The sequence below is a fragment of the Homo sapiens genome, chromosome 12 (genome assembly GCF_000001405.40).
Source record: "Homo sapiens chromosome 12, GRCh38.p14 Primary Assembly".
NCBI lineage: Eukaryota > Metazoa > Chordata > Mammalia > Primates > Hominidae > Homo > Homo sapiens.
The window spans coordinates 55,539,269-55,559,207 of NC_000012.12; the positions used below are offsets into that span (position 1 = coordinate 55,539,269).

The following is a 19,939-nucleotide window of genomic DNA, read 5'->3' on the forward strand; positions in this document are numbered from 1 at the left end:
TTTTTTTCTTTTTTTTTTTTTGAGATAGGATCTCACTTCGATGCCCAGGCTGGAATGCAGTGGTGCGATCTCGACTTCCCGGGCTCAGGTGATTCTCCCACTTCAGCCTCCTGAGTTGCTGGGACTACAAGCATGTGCCACCATACCCAGCTAATTTTTTGTAGACATGGGGTTTCACTATGTTCCCTAGGCTGGTCTTGAACTCCTGGGCTCAAGTGATCCACCCACCTCAGCCTTTCAAAGTGCTGGGATTACAGGTGTGAGCCACTGTGCCCAGACCAAAGTTTAGTTCTTAAATAAGATATAGGGAACTAGGAGAGATTTTACAAATTTAATCGTGGTACTGATACAGCTCTGATCACTGGAGGAACACCAGGGTCCTTGGTCGTGCTCCAATAGGATTAATGTCACAGACACACGTGGAGTGCTTTTGAGGAGTGAAAAGTTTACTAGGCAAGAAAGAGAACAGCTCCCCTGTACAGAGACAAAGGAGGAGGGCTTGGAACAAAGAGAAACCTCATGTGTAGCAGAAAGGTGGTCTATTATATTGGGAGGCTGAAGGAGGTGATGTCTGGTTTGCAAAAGGCCAAGAGGATTGGTTTAACCAGGTGTGTCATTCACATAGCCCTGAAAAACCTGGCCCTCCCACCTTAGCCCTTTACTATGCAAATGCGGGTCGCCATGATGTTTTGAACACATACTGTTATGTCAGGGTGGCCATGACACTTGGCACACCTGGTGACAAGGAGAAGATGGCAGGAATCGCCATGTTGGGTAGACCCAGTTTCTATTTGCTGGTATTTGCATATCAAATATGGCCTGGCTCTTCTTTTATTTTTTTTGAACTTTCTTCTTTTTTTATATATTTTTTTATTATACTTTAAGTTCTAGGGTACATGTGCACAACATGCAGGTTAGTTACATATGTACACATGTGCCATGTTGGTGTGCTGCACCCATTAACTCATCATTTATATTAGGTATATCTCCTAATGCTATCCCTCCCCCCTCCCCCAACCCCACAACAGGCCCTGGGGTGTAATGTTCCCCTTCCTGTGTCCATGTGTTCTCATTGTTCAATTCCCACCTATGAGTGAGAACTTGCAGTGTTTGTTTTTTTGTCCTTGCAATAGTTTGCTGAGAACGATGGTTTCCAGCTTCAACCATGTCCCTACAAAGGACACGAACTCATCCTTCTTTATGGCTGCATAGTATTCAATGGTGTATATGTGCCACATTTTCTTAATCCACTCTGTCATTATTGGACATTTGGGTTGGTTCCAAGTCTTTGCTATTTGAGTAGTGCCACAATAAACATACGTGTCCATGTGTCTTTATAGCAGCATAATTTATATTCCTTTGGGTATATACCCAGTAATGGGATGGCTGGGTCAAATGGTATTTCTAGTTCTAGATCCCTGAGGAATCACCATACTGTCTTCCACAATGGTTGAACTGGTTTACAGTCCCACCAACAGTGTAAAAGTGTTCCTATTTCTCCACATCCTCTCCAGCACCTGTCGTTTCCTGACTTTTCAATGATCGCCATTCTAACTGGTGTGAGATGATATCTCATTATGGTTTTGATTTGCATTTCTCTGATGGCCAGTGATGATGAGCATTTTTTCCTGTGTCTGTTGGCTGCATAAATGTCTTCTTTTGAGAAGTGTCTGTTCATATGCTTTGCCCACTTTTTGATGGGGTTGTTTGTTTTTTTCTTGTAAATTTGTTTGAGTTCTTTGTAGATTCTAGATATTAGCCCTTTGTCAGATGAGTAGATAGCAAAAATTTTCTCCCATTCTGTAGGTTGCCTGTTCACTCTGATGGCAGTTTCTTTTGCTGTGCAGAAGCTCTTTAGTTTAATTAGATCCCATTTGTCTATTTTGGCTTTTGTTGCCATTGCTTTTGGTGTTTTAGACATGAAGTCCTTGCCCATGCCTATGTCCTGAATGGTATTGCCTAGGTTTTCTTCTAGGGTTTTTATGGTTTCAGATCTAACATTTAAGTCTTTAATCCATCTTGAATTAATTTTTGTATAAGGTATAAGGGAGGGATCCAGTTTCAGCTTTCTACATATGGCTAGCCAGTTTTCCCAGCACCATTTATTAAACAGGGAATCCTTTCCCTATTGCTTGTTTTTCTCAGGTTTGTCAAAGGTCAGATAGTTGTAGATGTATGGTATTATTTCTGAGGGCTCTATTCTGTTCCATTGGTCTATATCTCTGCTTTGGTATGAGTACTATGCTGTTTTGGTTACTGTAGCCTTGTAGTATAGTTTGAAGTCAGGTAGTGTGATGCCTCCAGCTTTGTTCTTTTGGCTTAGGATTGACTTGGGAATGCGAGCTCTTTTTTGGTTCCATATTAACTTTAAAGTAGTTTTTTCCAATTCTGTGAAGAAAGTCATTGGTAGCTTGATGGGGATGGCATTGAATCTATAAATTACCTTGGGCAGTATGGCCATTTTAACGATATTGATTCTTCCTATCCATGAGCATGGAATGTTCTTCCATTTGTTTGTATCCTCTTTTATTTCATTGAGCAGTGGTTTGTAGTTCTCCTTGAAGAGGTCCTTCATGTCCCTTGTAAGTTGGATTCCTAGGTATTTTATTCTCTTTGAAGCAATTGTGAATGGGAGTTCACTCATGATTTGGCTCTCTGTTTGTCTGTTATTGGTATATAAGAATGCTTATGATTTTTGTACATTGATTTTATATCCTGAGACTTTGCTGAAGTTGCTTATCAGCTTAAGGAGATTTTGGGCTGAGACTATGGGTTTTCTAGGTATACAATCATGTCATCTGCAAACAGGGACAATTTGACTTCCTCTTTTCCTAATTGAATACCATTTATTTCTTTCCCCTGCCTAATTGCCCTGGCCAGCACTTCCAACAGTATGTTGAATAGGAGTAGTGAGAGAGGGCATCCCTGTCTTGTGCCAGTTTTCAAAGGGAATGCTTCCAGTTTTTGACCATTCAGTATGATATTGGCTGTGGGTTTGTCATAAATACCTCTTACCTTTTTGAGGTAAGTCCATTCAATACCCAATTTATTGAGAGTTTTTAGCATGAAGGGATGTTGAATTTTGTCAAAGGCCTTTTCTACATCTATTGAGATAATCATGTGGTTTTTGTCTTTGGTTCTGTTTATATGCTGGATTACATTTATTGATTCGTGTATGTTGAAACAGCCTTGCATCCCAGGGATGAAGCCAACTTGATCGTGGTGGATAAGCTTTTTGATGTGCTGCTGGATTCAGTTTGCCAGTATTTTATTGAGGATTTTTGCATCAATGTTCATCAGGGAAATTGGTCTAAAATTCTCTTTTTTGGTTGTGTCTCTGCCAGGCTTTGGTATCAGGATGATGTTGGCCTCATAAAATGAGTTAGGGAGGATTCCCTCTTTTTCTATTGATTGGAATAGTTTCAGAAGGAATGGTACCAGCTACTCATTGTACCTGTGGTAGAATTTGGCTATGAATCCATCTGGTCCTGGACTTTTTTTGGTTGGTAGGCTCTTAATTATTGCCTCAATTTTAGAGCCTGTTATTGGTCTATTCAAGGATTCAACTTCTTCCTGGTTTAGTCTTGGGAGGATGTATGTGTCGAGGAATTTATCCATTTCTTCTAGATTTTCTACTTTATTTGCATAGAGGTGTTTATAGTATTCTCTGATGGTAGTTTGTATTTCTGTAGTATTGGTGGTGATATCCCCTTTATCATTTTTTGTTGCATCTATTTGATTCTTCTCTTTTTTCTTCTTTATTAGTCTTACTAGCGGTCTATCAATTTTGTTCATCTTTTCAAAAAACCAGCTCCTGGATTCATTGATTTTTTGAAGGGTTTTTTGTGTCTCTATTTCCTTCAGTTCTGCTCTGATCTTATTTACTTCTCTTTTTTTTATACTTTAAGTTTTAGGGTACATGTGCACAATGTGCAGGTTTGTTACGTATGTATACATGTGCCATGTTGGTGTGCTGCACCCATTAACTCTTCATTTAACATTAGGCATATCTCCTAATGCTATCCCTCCCCCCATCCCCAACCCTATAACAGGCCCCGGTGTGTGATGTTCCCTTCCTGTGTCCATGTGTTCTCATTGTTCAATTCCCACCTATGCGTGAGAAGTTATTTCTTGCCTTCTGCTAGCCCTCGAATGTGTTTGCTCTTGCTTCTCTAGTTCTTTTAATTGTGATGTTAGGGTGTCAATTTTAGATCTTTCCTGCTTTCTCTTGTGGGCATTTACTGCTATAAATTTCCCTCTGCACACTGCTTTAAATGTGTCCCAGAGATTCTGGTGTGTTGTGTCTTTGTTCTCATTGGTTTCAAAGAACATCTTTATTTCTGCCTTCGTTTCATTATGTACCCAGTAGTCAATCAGGAGCAGGTTGTTCAGTTTCCAGGTAATTGAGTGGTTTTAAGTGAGTTTCTTAATCCTGAGTTCTAGTTTCATTGCACTGTGGTCTGAGAGACTGTTCTAATTTCTGTTCTTTTACATTTGCTGAGGAGTGCTTTACTTCCAACTATGTGGTCAATTTTGGAATAACTGCGATGTGGTGCTGAAAAGAATGTATATTCTGCTGCTTTGGGGTGGAGAGTTCTGTAGATGTCTATTAGGTCTGCTTGGTGCAGAGCTGAGTTCAATTCCTGGATATCCTTGTTAACTTTCTGTCTCGTGGATCTGTCTAATGTTGACAATGGGTTGTTAAAGTCTCCCATTATTATTGTGTGGGAGTCTAAGCCTCCTTGTAGGTCTCTAAGGACTTGCTTTATGAATCTGGTTGCTCCTGTATTGGGTGCATATATATTTAGGATAGTTAGTTCTTCTTGTTGAATTGATCTCTTTACCATTATGTAATGGCCTTCTTTGTCTCTTCTGATCTTTGTTGGTTTAAAGTCTGTTTTATCAGAGACTAGGATTGCAACCCTGCCTTTTTTTGTTTTCCATTTGCTTGGTAGATCTTCCTCCATCCCTTTATTTTGAGCCTATGTGTGTCTCTGCACGTGAGATGGGTCTCCTGAATACAGCACAGTGATGGGTCTTGACTCTTTATCCAATTTACCAGTCTGTGTCTTTTAATTGGATCATTTAGCCCATTTTCATTTAAGGCTAATATTGTTATGTGTGAATTTGATCCTGTCATTATGATGTTAGCTGGTTATTTTGCTTGTTTGTTGATGCAGTTTCTTCCTAGCATCGATGGTCTTTAGAATTTGGCATGATTTTGCAGTGGCTGGTACCGGTCGTTCTTTTCCATGTTTAGTGCTTCCTTCAGGAGCTCTTGTAAGGCAGGCCTGATGGTGACAAAATCTCCCAGCATTTGCTTGCCTGTAAAGGGTTTTATTTCACCTTTACTTGTGAAGCTTATTTTGGCTAGATATGGAATTCTGGGTTGAAAATTCTTTTCTTTAAGAATGTTGAATATTGACCCCCACTCTCTTCTGGCTTGTAGAGTTTCTACTGAGAGATCCACTGTTAGTCTGATGGGCTTCCCTTTGTGGGTAACCCGACATTTCTCTTTGGCTGCCCTTAACATTTTTTTCTTCATTTCAACTTTGGTGAATGTGACAATTATGTGTCTTGGAGTTGCTCTTCTTGAGGAGTATGTTTGTGGTGTTCTCTGTGTTTCCTTTGAATATTGGCCTGCCTTGCTAGATTGGGGAAGTTCTCCTGGATAATATCCTGCAGAGTGTTTTCCAACTTGATTCCATTCTCCCCATCACTTTCAGGTACAACAATCTGACATAGATTTGGTCTTTTCACATAGTCCCGTATTTCTTGGAGACTTTGTTCATTTCTTTTTGCTCTTCTTTCTCTAAACTTCCCTTTTACTTCATTTCATTCATTTGATCTTCAATCACTGATACCCTTTCTTCCAGTTGATTGAATCAGCTACTGAAACTTGTGCATACATCATGTAGTTCTCGTGCCATGGTTTTCAGCTCCCTCAGGTCATTTAGGGTCTTCTCTATGCTGTTTATTCTAGTTAGCCATTCGTCTAATCTTTTTTCAAGGTTTTTAGCTTCTTTGCAATGGGTTCAAACATCTTCCTTTAGCTCAGAGAAGTTTGTTATTACCTATAACAAACTTGAGAGAAGGCTTCTTCTCTCAACTCATCAAAGTCATTCTCCATCCAGCTTTGTTCTGTTGCTGGCGAGGAGCTGCATTCCTTTTGAGGAGAAGAGGCGCTCTGATTTTTAGAATTTTCAGCTTTTCTGCTCTGGTTTCTCACCATCTTTGTGGTTTTATCTACCTTTGGTCTTTGATGATGGTGATGTACAGATGGGGTTTTGGTGTGGATATCCTTTCTGTTTGTTAGTTTTGCTTTTAACAGTCAGGAGCCTCAGGTTCAGGTCTGTTGGAGTTTACTGGAGGTCCCCTCCAGACCCTGTTTTCCTGGGTATCACCAGCAGAGGCTGCAGAACCACAAATATTGCAGAACAGCAAATGTTGCTGCCTGATCGTTCCCCTGGAAGCTTCGTCTCAGAGGTGCACCCAGTCGTATGAGGTGTCAGTCAGCCCCTACTGGCAGGTGCCTCCCAGTTAGGCTACTCGGGGGTCAGGGACCCACTTAAGGAGACAGTCTGTCCATTCTCAGATCTCAAACTATGTGCTGGGAGAACCACTGCTCTCTTCAAAGCTCAGTTGGAAATGCAGAAATCACCCATCTTCTGCATCGCTCACACTGGGAGCTGTAGACAGGAGCTGTTCCTATTCGGCCATCTTGGAACCTCTAACGTGAAATTTATTTTTTACAGTTATGAAGCCTGACAAGTGCAAGTCAAGAAGGTGTATCTGGTGATGGCCTTCCTACTCTTGGGGACCCTGCAGAGTCGCAAGGTGGCTCAGGGCATCATGTGGTGAGGGAGCTGAGCATGCAGACATGCTAGGTCAGATCTCCCTTCCTCTTCTTATAAAGGCAGTATTTCCACATCCATGATAAACCACTAATCCATTAATCTGTGAATGGATTAGTCTATTTATAAGGACCAAGCCTTCATGATCCAATCACCACTTAAGGCCCTACCTTTCAATATTGCTACATTGGAATTTAAGTTTCAACCCAAGTTTTGGAGGAGACATTCACACCATACCATTATTCCCCTGAGCTCCTAAAACTTGTGTTCTTCTCACATAGAAATATGTTCATTCCAGCCCCAAACCCCCAAAGTCTTAACTTGTTCCCACACCAACTCTAAAGGCCAAAGTCCAAAGTCTCATTTGTGAGCCTGTGAAAGACTCACTCCCATTCCAAAAGGGAGAAAATAGGCAAGAAGAAAGGGATAACAGGCCTGAAGCAAGTTTAAAACCCAAGAAAGTAGACATTAGGTCCTACGACTCCAAAATAATCTCCTTTGACTCCATGTCTGGCACCCTCTGCACTTTGGCTTGATGATTTGGTCCCCCAAAGCCTCAAGCAGGCCTGCCCCTATGACTTTGCTAGGCTTAATCCATTCAACTCTCCCATGCTGGCATTGCACATTGGTAGCTCTAAAGTTCTGGAGTTTCAGCAGCAGTTCTTCTCCCATGACTCCACTAAGCATGGCCCTAGTGAGGACTCTCTGCAGTGGCCTCACTCCCACAGCCACACCAGCCCCATGGTGGGGACTCTGCAGCAGCTCCCACCCCACATTTCTGCTCAGTATTGCTTTGATTAAGGTTCTCTGTGGTGACTCCACCACTGTGACACATCTCTGCTGAGAACCTTAGAATTTTGAAGCCATTCTTTGAAATCTGGGTGGAGGCTGCCAAGCCTCCACAGCTCTCATTTTCTGAAAGCCTGCAGAATTAACACTACATGGACACTACCAAAGTTTATAACTTGTGCCTTGCAGAGCTGCAACATGAGCATCACCTGGGGCAACTTGACCCATGACTGAGGCAGCCATGGAGCACTGTGCTAAAATGTAGGAAGCAGAATCCTGAGGCAACCCTGGGCAGTGAACCCATGAAGATCACCCCAGGCCTATCCCCTGAAAGCATTCTGCCCTCCTAGACCTCTTGGCCTGTGATGATAGAGGCAGCACTGAAGATCTCTGAAATGTCTTCAGGGTATTTTTTCCATTGTTTTGAGACATAGTACCTGACTCTTTTTCACCTTTGCTAATCTTTTTAGCAAACGGTCCTGCACACTTCGTTTCCTCTCCTGAACATGATTTTTCACTCTATATGGCCAGGCTGAATGTTTTTCAAATATTTCTACTCTGCTTCCCCTTTAACTATAAATTATGTTTTTAAATTGTTTCTTTGTTCCTGAATCTCAGTGAAAGTGGCCAAAAGCAACCATGCAGCTCCTTCTATTTTGTTCAGACATTTCTTCTGCCACATGCCCTGGTTCATCAATCTCAAGTTTGATGAACAAAGCTCTCAAGCATTGACACAGCTCAGCCAAGTTCTTGTCCAATTTATAACAAGGATAGCCTTTCCACCAGTTTCCAAAAACTTGCTCCTGAGTTTCATCTGCAATTTTATCAGAATGGCTTTTACTGTTCTTATTTCTTTTTATTATTATACTTTAAGTTCTGGGGTACATGTGCACAATGTGCAGGTTTGTTACATAGGTATATACTTGCCAGGGTGGTTTGCTGCACCCATCAACTCGTCATTTACATTAGGTATTTCTCCTAGTGCTATCCATCCCCAAGCCCTCCAGCCCCTGACAGGCCCTAGTGTGTGATGTTCCCCATCCTGTGTCCAAGTGTTTTCATTGTTCAATTCCCACCTAAGAGTGAGAACATGCAGTGTTTGGTTTTCTGTCCTTGTGATAGTTTGCTGAGAATGATGGTTTCCAGTTTCATCCATGTCCCTGCAAAAGACATGAACTCATCCTTTTTTATGGCTGCATAGTAGTCCATGGTGTATATATGCCACATTTTCTTAATCCAGTCTATCATTGATGGACATTTGTGTTGGTTCCAAGTCTTTGCTATTGTGAATAGTGCCACAATAAACACACATGTGCATGTGTCTTTATTGTAGAATGATTTATAATCCTTTAGGTACATACCCAGTAATGGGATCACTGGGTCAAATGGTATTTCTAGTTCTAGATCCTTGAGGAATCGCCATACTGTCTTCTACAGTGGTTGAACTAATTTACACTTCCACCAACAGTGTAAAAGCATTCTATTTCTCCACTTCCTCTCCAGCATCTGTTGTTTCCTGACTTTAATGATCACCATTCTAACTAGCGTGAGATGGTATCTCATTGTGGTTTTGATTTGCATTTATCTGATGACCAGTGATGATGAGTACTTTTTCATGTGTCTGTTGGCTGCATAAATGTCTTCTTTTGAGAAGTGTCTTTTCATATCTTTTGCCCACTTTTTGATGAGGTTGTTTTTTTTTTAATTTATTTAAGTTCTTTATAGATTCTGGATATTAGCCCTTTGTCAGATGGTTAGATAGCAAAAATTTTCTCTCACTCTGTAGGTTGCCTGTTCACTCTGATGGTAGCTTCTTTCATATTTCTATCAGCATTCTGGTCATAACCACTTAACCAATCTCTAAGAAGTTCCATGTTTTTCCTAGTCTTGTTGTATTCTAGGCCCCCACCAGAATATAGGCTTTTTCTAACCTACCCTTCCAAATTCTTTCAGCTTCTGCCAAGTATTGACTTTTAAAGCTGCTTCCACATTTTCAATGGTTTGTAATTAGCAACATGTGTGTTCCTGGAAAAAGTTGAATGTGGTTAAGATCTTGCATGCAAAGACTGTGTGCTGGTAGTCCTGTTGAGATATCCTGTGGGGAAGTGAGTGAAAGTATATTTCTTTCAAAAGTGAAGGCTGATTGCTTCTGAGAGGCTGTTTGAACTATGCATTGAATTGAACATATTAGCAAAATATGTCAACAGCAAACTATTTTCCAGCTGTTGGTTTGATGGAGTCAGTAATTTGGTAATTTAGACATGGGAGATTCATGGAGGATACCACAGCATTCAGGTTATGGTGATTTACTGTGAGTTGTCATTCATTTACATCATGTTGGAGCACTGGCCAAACAGGATTATTAAAGGAGAGATAATAGAAATAATGACAAGGCCAGGCACACCCATCCCCAGGGAGTGTCCATCCATTGCTCTACATTTCTCCACAAACTTCATGGCTGTGGCAGATTCTCTCATGGAACCTTTATCTCAATGGTCTCTCTGGAACCTCTCTTCTCAGTCATATGTTTACAGTTTGTTCTCAAAATTGCCAACGACTGAGGTTCATTAGCCCCTTTTGAACGTGGGTCCACAGGGCTTCTTTAGCTTCTTCAGGAAATTGATCCCATGTGCCTGCTCTAAAAAGAGCAGATAAAACCTGTGTTGCTCTAGCTAACACAGAAACTGCAGAGATGCCCATCCTCTGCCATCTAAGAACTTCAACATAATCTCTCTTAGAACATAAATTTTCAGAAATTTTCTGTCTCTCAAAGTATTTTCTTCCAATTCAATAACTGCTATGGGCTTTGTTTTTATTTTTTATTACCTATGTGAAGTTCTCTGTCTCTCAGGAACTATGATTTGATTCTGGATTGGATTCTTAGAATGGAAAATAATATGCTCTTTTTTCTGGTTAAGTTCCATAAGTTTGGATACTTCTATTAAGAGAAAGGTAAAATGTGGATGGAAGCCAATAGAAAACATGTTAAAGTATATACTACTCAAAGATTCACGTGGCACATCTCATCTTTGATTTACCTCTTAGGAACAACAAGGTAAACAGTATACTATAGTCATTCAGGTTGTCAAAGGTATGAGCAACATATGTTTTTAAAGTCACTGATTTTATCATTCTATAAATGTGGATCATGAAATGAATCAACTGTGAAAATCTGGAAGAAAATGCAGTACTTGCCAAAGACCACAGGTTAGTATAAACAAGGAAAAGAGGGCTGCAGGAGACCCAGGTCACATCATCTAAGACCTCCAAAACCTGTATGGAAAGTTGACAAGAATGATTTTAATAACATAATTTTTCTAATCCATGTGCATGTAAATTAGAGGGACCCCTTTATATTATATTTGCCTCTTAATCAGAAAAATCTAAAGATGCACTCACAATACTACCACCAAATTTTTCTTCCCTGAGAATTACCACTTTATCTACAAAGAACTCTTATTATCAAAAACTTTTTCTGGTTTCTGTAAGACAAGAATAGAAAACAGGAGAGTTTGGGTCATGATAAACTGTCATCCTTAGTTGCCACTGGGGACTCTAAGACTGAGAAAAATCCATTCCGTGATGCTGCTTACAGAGTTCTCAAAATTTCTCTTCTCCGAGACATATCTCAAATCAGTGCCTGGAAGACTCTGAATGTGGCAGAGAAACATAAAATGTAAATTAATATGACATATTGATGCTTGAACCTTGTTCATGTAGAGGAAAAGACTCACAATACAAAATGAGATGATCTTCAGCATTGCCTGTGTAGGGAAATTCCTACTTGTTTCTGAAACAAGGATGTCAGAGATTTGGACAGTAATGGAGATAAGGATCTATAGCAGATATCCAGTGAGGCATCAAATAGTGCAGAGAAAGGAAAGAAAGAAACAGGAAAGCACAGAAAACAGAATGAGGTAGAGAGATGTGTGCCAAAAGCACAGAATTAGGAGAGCTTATAATACAGTCAAGAGTAAGTGCTTTACTTGTGAAGATTGTATAAACATTTGAAAGGAAACAACAGGTTCAAAAACTTCTATTTTTCTGAAAAAAAATGAGTTATTCTATAATAAGTTTTCTTAAGTGCCCAGGAACAGGTCAACTTGAGAAATGAAAAAGGTCACTTAAACAAAAGATATGGGGCTTGCATGGAGCCAAGTGCACCCCAATGGGACACTGGTTTGGGCCATATGGATGGTGAGCAATGTATGACCTGATTCTGTTCATTAAGATAAGCTTTATGTCTCCTACTCTAAGAAACTCTTCAATTTTCATCATTCTCACCTTTTGCCTTTAGGTTTTCCGAAGGTCAACAATGAAAAACAGAACCATGTTTGGTGAGTTTATTCTACTGGGCCTTACAAATCAACCTGAACTCCAAGTGATGATATTCATCTTTCTGTTCCTCACCTACATGCTAAGTATCCTAGGAAATCTGACTATTATCACCCTCACCTTACTAGACCCCCACCTCCAGACCCCCATGTATTTCTTCCTCCGGAATTTCTCCTTCTTAGAAATTTCCTTCACATCCATTTTTATTCCCAGATTTCTGACCAGCATGACAACAGGAAATAAAGTTATCAGCTTTGCTGGCTGCTTGACTCAGTATTTTTTTGCTATATTTCTTGGAGCTACCGAGTTTTACCTCCTGGCCTCCATGTCTTATGATCGTTATGTGGCCATCTGCAAACCCTTGCATTACCTGACTATTATGAGCAGCAGAGTCTGCATACAACTAGTGTTCTGCTCCTGGTTGGGGGGATTCCTAGCAATCTTACCACCAATCATCCTGATGACCCAGGTAGATTTCTGTGTCTCCAACATTCTGAATCACTATTACTGTGACTATGGGCCTCTCGTGGAGCTTGCCTGCTCAGACACAAGCCTCTTAGAACTGATGGTCATCCTCTTGGCCGTTGTGACTCTCATGGTTACTCTGGTGCTGGTGACACTTTCTTACACATACATTATCAGGACTATTCTGAGGATCCCTTCTGCCCAGCAAAGGACAAAGGCCTTTTCCACTTGTTCCTCCCACATGATTGTCATCTCCCTCTCTTATGGCAGCTGCATGTTTATGTACATTAATCCTTCTGCAAAAGAAGGAGGTGCTTTCAACAAAGGAATAGCTGTACTCATTACTTCGGTTACTCCCTTACTGAATCCCTTCATATATACTTTAAGAAATCAGCAAGTGAAACAAGCTTTCAAGGACTCAGTCAAAAAGATTGTGAAACTTTAAAAAAGGAGATTACACTTCAAAATACATTTTCACTTAACAAATATGCATTGAATGTCTATATTTCAAGTGCTAAATTGGCCCTTGAAGATTAAAATAGGAAAAGTATATGTCTTAATTTCAAGAAAACTATAGTCTAGAATCAAGGAAAGATATATAAATGGTAAATTTATGTAATAAATTTACAAAAAACAAAATAATATTTTAATTGTTATTAGAGAAGAGTGAATGGGGATCTGAAAAGGAACAGTTGGAAAGAATTAGTTCTGTTTTCCATAAATTATTTGAAATTTAAGAAGCAAAACAGATTGTTTATTTAGAAGAGTAGGAGGATAAGAATTTAGAGTGAAAAAGGAAACCAGATCATAAAAGTAAGTAATTACAACTACTGAGTTAGCTGGGTTTCATGAGTCAAGAAATTTTCAGAATTGTTTTGAGGAGAATGTAGTATCAGCATTGTTCTTCAGCATGGAGCCCTGGAGACTATGTTTCCATCGAGGAGTGAATAATTTTTCTTCTCCTCCATTTTTTCATCTATATTTCAAATGTAACCATTGCAACTTCCCTCCTTTCATAAGAGGAAAATGAAAGAATATATATTTAGTCTACTTTTCTCCAAATGAGGAGAAAATTTTTAAGATTTTTGTCAACTTAATATGTCCATTTTCTAGTTTATGGTTAAAACAGGTTTCTAGAGACAAGTTTAGAAGGCTTTCATTCTCCTAGACAAAATCTATTGTTTCTTTTCTTAGGTGACATTTTAAGTTAATGGCATGAGATCTGTTTTCTCTCTCTTTGATAGTTTCTGGTAATTTTTTCCTTCCTATCATGATTTTATTTTCATCCTTTTGTTTCACTTTATTAGATATTAGAAAAGAAAATTCTGTTATCTGGCTCTACTTCTTTAACTTTCCCCCAGATTTTTGCTTTCGTTTGTAACATAAACCATGGATGACCATTTTATAAAGTAAAAAGAATATAAAGTGTCAATGCAATCTTATATCTAGAATGTTCCAAATTATGAGTCTTGAAAAACAACTAGAAATAGACTATCCTACCAAAAACTTTACACATGGATTCAAGGCAATGACAACTTGAATTTGAATAGGTAGTGGTAGTGTCCAATTTCAATGGAAGTAAGCACTTTTTTTTAATCTGAGCATTTGTACACAGTTTAATAATATCTTAAAAAATTGCAGGAGCTTTGTTACTATTTGGGGTAAAAGTGGAACACAATCTGGTATTTTCACATGCTTTATATGTGGTAATATGTTGAGTAAAATGAGGTACTTCTCAAGCATTTAAGGAACAAGCTGGATTGAACTGATTATGAGAGCAAATTATCAGAGCCACAGAAGGTATTGGAGAATGTATAATATTTTTGAAAAAGTATTTTATGTAAAGCTGTTGCTATTCTGAGTATCTTGTTTTCTTTGGTTGCTAGCTAGAGATTAGTGATAATATTCAATATATTCCAAATTTAATGCACTACAAGAACAAGAAGTGTTCTTGAATAGCCACATCTAAATCATTAAGTTCCCCTACACCCACATTTCTACTAAAACCTATGGTACAGTGGGAGCAATGTCATATAGTGGCTTAAAACATAGGCTTTAGTTCAAATCCCAGATTTTCAACTTTCTACCAAAGTTACCTGGGGATAGTTACTTGATCTCTCTAAGGCTCACCTCTGTCAACTCTAAAATGTTTACAATAATAGTGTCTATCTTATAGTTTTGAGCATTCACTGAGAAAATAGATGTAAAATATTAAAAGACAGCCAGTATTTATTGTGTTTAATAAATGACATCTATTATAACTATATTATAAACAATATATTTTTCAAGGAACTGGAGCTTAACTAGAAAGAAGGCATTAAATTGGTTGGTTTAATATAGCAGGGACAGTAAAAATGTTGGCCATTGTACTTGAAATCCATCTGCACAAGGCCAGCATATTTCTACTCTCCACACATCCAGCTGCATGCTGGGTAGCTGGGTCAGCAAAGATCTTACCTACTCTTCAGATAAAGCCATCAAAATACTTGGCAGCAGGTTATAAGAACTGGGCTAGCATCAACTTCATTGCCCTAGATATCTATGGGAGAGACAGGATGTATTAACATGCTGAGACAAGGAAGGAAGGTACTTTGTGTAAGTTAATGTTTAAGATCACTAGGCAAGAGTTCACTCAGCATTCTTTATATAAGCATTTGGAAATGAACATGGAAAAGAATGTATCACCTTCTAAATGAGCTTGTCAAAAAAAAAAAAGCAAGTCATATTCTTCTAAAGCTGTTCATCTAGTCTGGCTGTATGTTAATTCATACTTGGAATGTAATCCAAGTCATAGATAAGCAAAAGGAATGACTTCACAGAGTCTGGTGCTGAGCTACCAGAATATTCAGTATCTAAATATATAAAATGGTGAGTTTGATTCCTCATGTCACCAAAGTGGACAAGAATTAAAAGAAACAGCTTTAGCTGCCTAACATTCTCAGAATCATATTATACCAGTGCTAGGGTGAGGAGACTATGAAAATGAGTAAAAGCCAATCTGCTACATTTGGGCATTCATTCTTCTATTGCCTCTCTTTAAAGCTGCCAGAGCTTGTGGATATATGGATTACAATTCTAAACAGGTAGTCTTCCAGCATCATTTCTTGCAAAGAGTTTTAAATAAAATTCAAAACAATAAAATATATTTTTTAATTTTTTTTATTTCAGCCAGGATCAGTGACTCACACTTCTAATCCCAGCTCTTTGGGAGGCTGAGGCAGGCGGATCACTTGAGGTCAGGAGTTCAAGAACAGCCTGGCCAACACAGTGAAACCCCGTTTCTACTATTACATTGATAGAAAAGTAATTGTGGTTTTTGCTACTAAAAGTAATGGCAAAAACTGCAATTACTTTTGCACCAACCAAATAAAAATACAAAAATCAGCCAGGCATGGTGATGCGTGCCTGTAATTCCAGCTACTGGGAAGGCTGAAGCACAAGAATCACTTGGAGTACAAGTGGCCTTTTGTTACATCAGTGAATTAAATAGTGGTGAATTCTGGGATTTTAGTGCACCTGTCACCCAAGTAGTATACATTGGACCTAAGCTGTAGTTTTTTTATCCCTAGCCCCCTCCCATCATTCCCCTTCTGAGTCTCTAAAGTTCATTATACCACTCTGTGTGCCTTTGCATACTCATAGCTTAGCTCCCACTTACGAGTGAGAACATACTTATAAGTGAGAACATAGTTTTTGGTTTTCCACTCCCGTATTACTTCACTTAGAATAACGACTTCCAGCTCCATCCAAACTGCTGCAAAATACATTCTTTTGTTCCTTTCCAGGCCAGGTGCAGTGGCTCTTGCCTGTAATCCCAGAAATTTGGGAGGCTGAGGAGGGTGGATCACTTGAGTTCAGGAGTTCGAGACCAGCCTGGCCAACATGGTGAAACCCTGTCTCTATCAAAAATACAAAAATTAGCCTGGTGTGGTGGCACGTGCCTGTAGTTCCAGCTACTTGGGAGGCTAAGGTACAAGAATCACTTGAACCAGGGAGGCAGAGGTTGTAGTGAGCTGAGTTTATGCCACTGTACTCCAGGCTGGGCAACACAGCAAGACTCTGTCTCAAAAAAACATAAAATAAAATAATAAAAAATGTTGCTTCTTTTCATGGCTGAGTAGTATTTCATGGTGTATATATAGCACATTTTCTTTATCCATTCATTAATCATTGGGCACTTAGGTTGGTTCCACGTCTTTGCAATTGTGAATTGTGCTTCTATAAACATACATATGCCAGTGTCTTTTTCATATAATGACTTCTTTTCCTTTGGGTAAATACCCAGTAGTGAGATTGCTGGATCAAATGGTATGTTTGCTTTTAGCTCCTTAAGGAATCACCATACTGTTTTCAATAGAGGTTGTACTAATTTACATTCCCACCAGCAGCAATAAGCTTTCCATTTTCCCCACATCCACGCCAACATCTATTGCTTTTTGACTTTTTAATAATGGCCATTCTTGCAGGAATATAGCAGTATCTCATTGTGGTTTTAATTCTCATATCCCTGATGATTCGTGGTATTGAACTTTTTAAATATGTTTCTTGGCCTTTTGTATATCTTTAACCGAGAATTTTTTAGGAAGCCAGGTAAGGCATCACATAGGATGATTAAGGACAGTTTGTAATGACTTGGGTTCTCTGGCCTGAAAATCACATTTACCCATTTATTTAAATTCACGTTGAAGGTCAAAAACCAGGGCTTAAGCTTTTTTTCATACATATCATTAGATAGTATAGCTAAAGCTATAGTGGAGTCACATGCTCTAAAGCTAAAGCAACCACTCATCTGAGGAACAGATCTACTTGGAGGGGAAAAAGCTACATACTGGAAAATATATGATATAAAAAAATTAAAGCAGAAATATCAAAAATTTTGAATAATTATAATTTCTTCAAAAAGATAAAAAAGATACTGGTAAAATTAAGGACAAAACATTATAAAGTAATGAGGTTTAAAAACGTAGTAAGTGTCCAAATTAACAAAAGGTTGTAAAAGAGAAATAGAGAAATAAAAAACATAATAAAAGAAATAAAGAATAAAACAAGTGAGAATAATACCACGACAGGTAGAACCAAAGTAGAAATAATGAGCTAGAAGATCAGGTCTAATAAACTCCCCATTAAGACAAAAGAAAAAAATAAAAAGATTAAATAGGGAGAAATGATAGATCAATAGATAGATAGATACCAAAAGACAAGTGCAAATGCCAAAAAAAATCTAGACAATAAGAATCATGGGTGAAAAGAAAAGGAAAAAAGAGAAGAAAAAAAGGAAATAATATATTTTCTATAATATAGAAAGATAGCAACTAACAGATATCATAAATATCATACAGAATAGATAAAGGAAATATACACCTTTAAAATCAGACATTTAAATGTGATGGTAAAATAGATCATCAGACATTTAAATGTGATGGTAAGATAAAAGATCACTTCAGAAGGCTCACCACACAAAGAACAAATTCAAAATAATTTTTAAAAGAAATACACAAATTAGAACAGAAATAACAATAGAAGTATGATGCAAATAATATGAAAGATTAAAATAATAATATAAATTGTATTAAACACATAAAGTATATTTTTGACCTTTGTGTACAAATCGATGGGGTACAATTGTAATTTCGTTACATGGATATGTTGCATAGAGAAAAGTAAGGGCTTTTGGCGAATCCATCACCAGAGTAATATCCACTGTACCCCTTAATTAATCCACCCTCCTCCTGCCCCCCACCCTTATGAGTTTCCATTGTCATTATTCTGCATTCTACATCCATGTGTATGTATTATTTAGCTTCCCCTTATAAGTGAGAGCGTGCGATGTTTGTCTTTCTGTGTCTGATTTGTTTCACCTAAGATAATGACTTCTACTTCCATCCATCTTGCTGCAAAGACATGATTTCATTCTTTTTCATGGCTGTGTAATATATATATATATCACATTTCTTTATTCCATCATTCGTTGATGGACATTTAGGTTGATTCCATATCTTTGCTATTGTGAATAGTGCTTCAATAAACATACAAGTACAGGTATCTTTTCACATAATGATTTCCTTTCCTTGGGGTAGATACTTAGTAATGGGATTGCTGGGTTGAATGGTAGTTCTATTTTTAGTTCTTTCAGAAATCTCCAAACTGTTTTCTATCACGCTTGTACTAATTTATATTCCCAGTCACAGTGTATGCATCCCCTTTTCTCCACAGCCTCACCAACACCTGTTATTTTTTGTCTTTTTAATAATAGACATTCAAACTGGTGTGAGGTGACATCTCATTGTGATTTTAATTTTTCTATTTATCTGATTAGTGACAATGAGCATTTTTCATGATTTTTGGCCATTAGTATGCAATCTTTTGAAAAATGTCTGTTCATGTTCTTTGCCCACTTTTTAACAGGATTATTTGCTCTGGTTGTTGTTGCTGCATTGTTTGAGTTTCTTGTAAATTCTGGACATTAGTCCCATCAGATGCATAGTTAGCAAACATTCTCTCCCAGCCTGCAAGTTGCCTTTTTACTCTATTAATTCTTTTTTACTGTGCAGAAGCTTTTTAGGACATGAATGAGAAATTTAGCAATTAGACATCTTTTTTAAAAATATGGAACTGAAAGATTCATTGAAGAAATTACAAACTACATTTGAAAGCTTTAATAACAGATTGGACCAAGGAGGAGAAAGCCTTTCAGAATTTGAAGACAGATCTTTAAAAATAATACAGTCAGACAAAAAGAAAAAAGAATGAACAAGGCCTTCAAAATGTGTGGAACTATTTAAAGCAAATGAATTTATGAATTGTCAATATTCTTAAGGGGAAAGAAAATCAAATAGTTTAGAAAACCTATTTAAGGAAATAATATATTTTGTCTGTTCAAAAAGTGAGACTCAAAGAAGAAAAATCTATTAGGTTGGTGCTAAAGTAAATGCAGTTTTTGCCAGTAAAAGTAACTCATAACCAGAACTAAAATTTTAGAAAACATGCATTGTAGGGTTGCAAAGGAGGACCAAAGTAAGATAAAAGAAAGATAATATAGAATAAAAATTAGGGAGAGCAGAGCAAAATGGCAGATTAGACATCTCCATCCCTCCACAGAAACACCAATTTGAACAACTATTCATGCATAAAAAAGCCTTCACAAGAGCTAAGGAAATCAGGTAAGAGATTGCAGTACCTATTTAGAGCATAATAACAGGAAAAAAGGCTTGAAGAGGATAGGAGGGACAATTTTGCATTATCTGCCCATTCCTCCCCCAACCCCAGGCAGCACACCACAGAAAGAAATACAGTCTGCTTGGGATAAAAAGAGGGAAATAAGCATAGGACCTTGCCTTGGACCATAACACCAGTTGCCACAGTAAAACTCAGTACCAAGCAAATCTCTACAGTTTCTGAATCCAGGCCAATACCCACAGATTAAGCCCCTAGACCTGCCTTGGTGTCAGATGGAAATCCGGAAATCCAAGGCACCTGAGCCATAGACTACACCTCCA

The 19,939-nt window shown here is 38.3% G+C and overlaps 1 protein-coding gene across 2 annotated transcripts; it reads left to right on the forward strand.

Annotated features, from left to right (window-relative positions):
• Positions 1 to 10,333: 10,333 nt before the first annotated feature.
• Positions 10,334 to 16,564, forward strand: OR6C4 (olfactory receptor family 6 subfamily C member 4). Of its 2 annotated transcripts, none has more exons than NM_001005494.2 (2): positions 10,334 to 10,850; positions 11,941 to 16,564. In NM_001005494.2, the coding sequence occupies exon 2, from the start codon at positions 11,959 to 11,961 to the stop codon at positions 12,886 to 12,888; it is 930 nt and encodes a 309-aa protein (NP_001005494.1). In that variant the 5' UTR covers positions 10,334 to 10,850; positions 11,941 to 11,958; the 3' UTR covers positions 12,889 to 16,564. The 2 variants fall into 2 exon arrangements, with proteins under 2 accessions (NP_001005494.1, NP_001372904.1); NM_001385975.1 differs by having other exon boundaries at positions 10,334 to 10,698.
• The last annotated feature ends 3,375 nt before the right edge of the window (positions 16,565 to 19,939 follow it).

What these genes read in the sequence shown, in the direction of transcription:
- OR6C4 (NM_001005494.2), top strand. Translation starts at nt 11,959, where the DNA reads ATGAAAAACAGAACCATGTTTGGTGAGTTTATTCTACTGGGCCTTACA.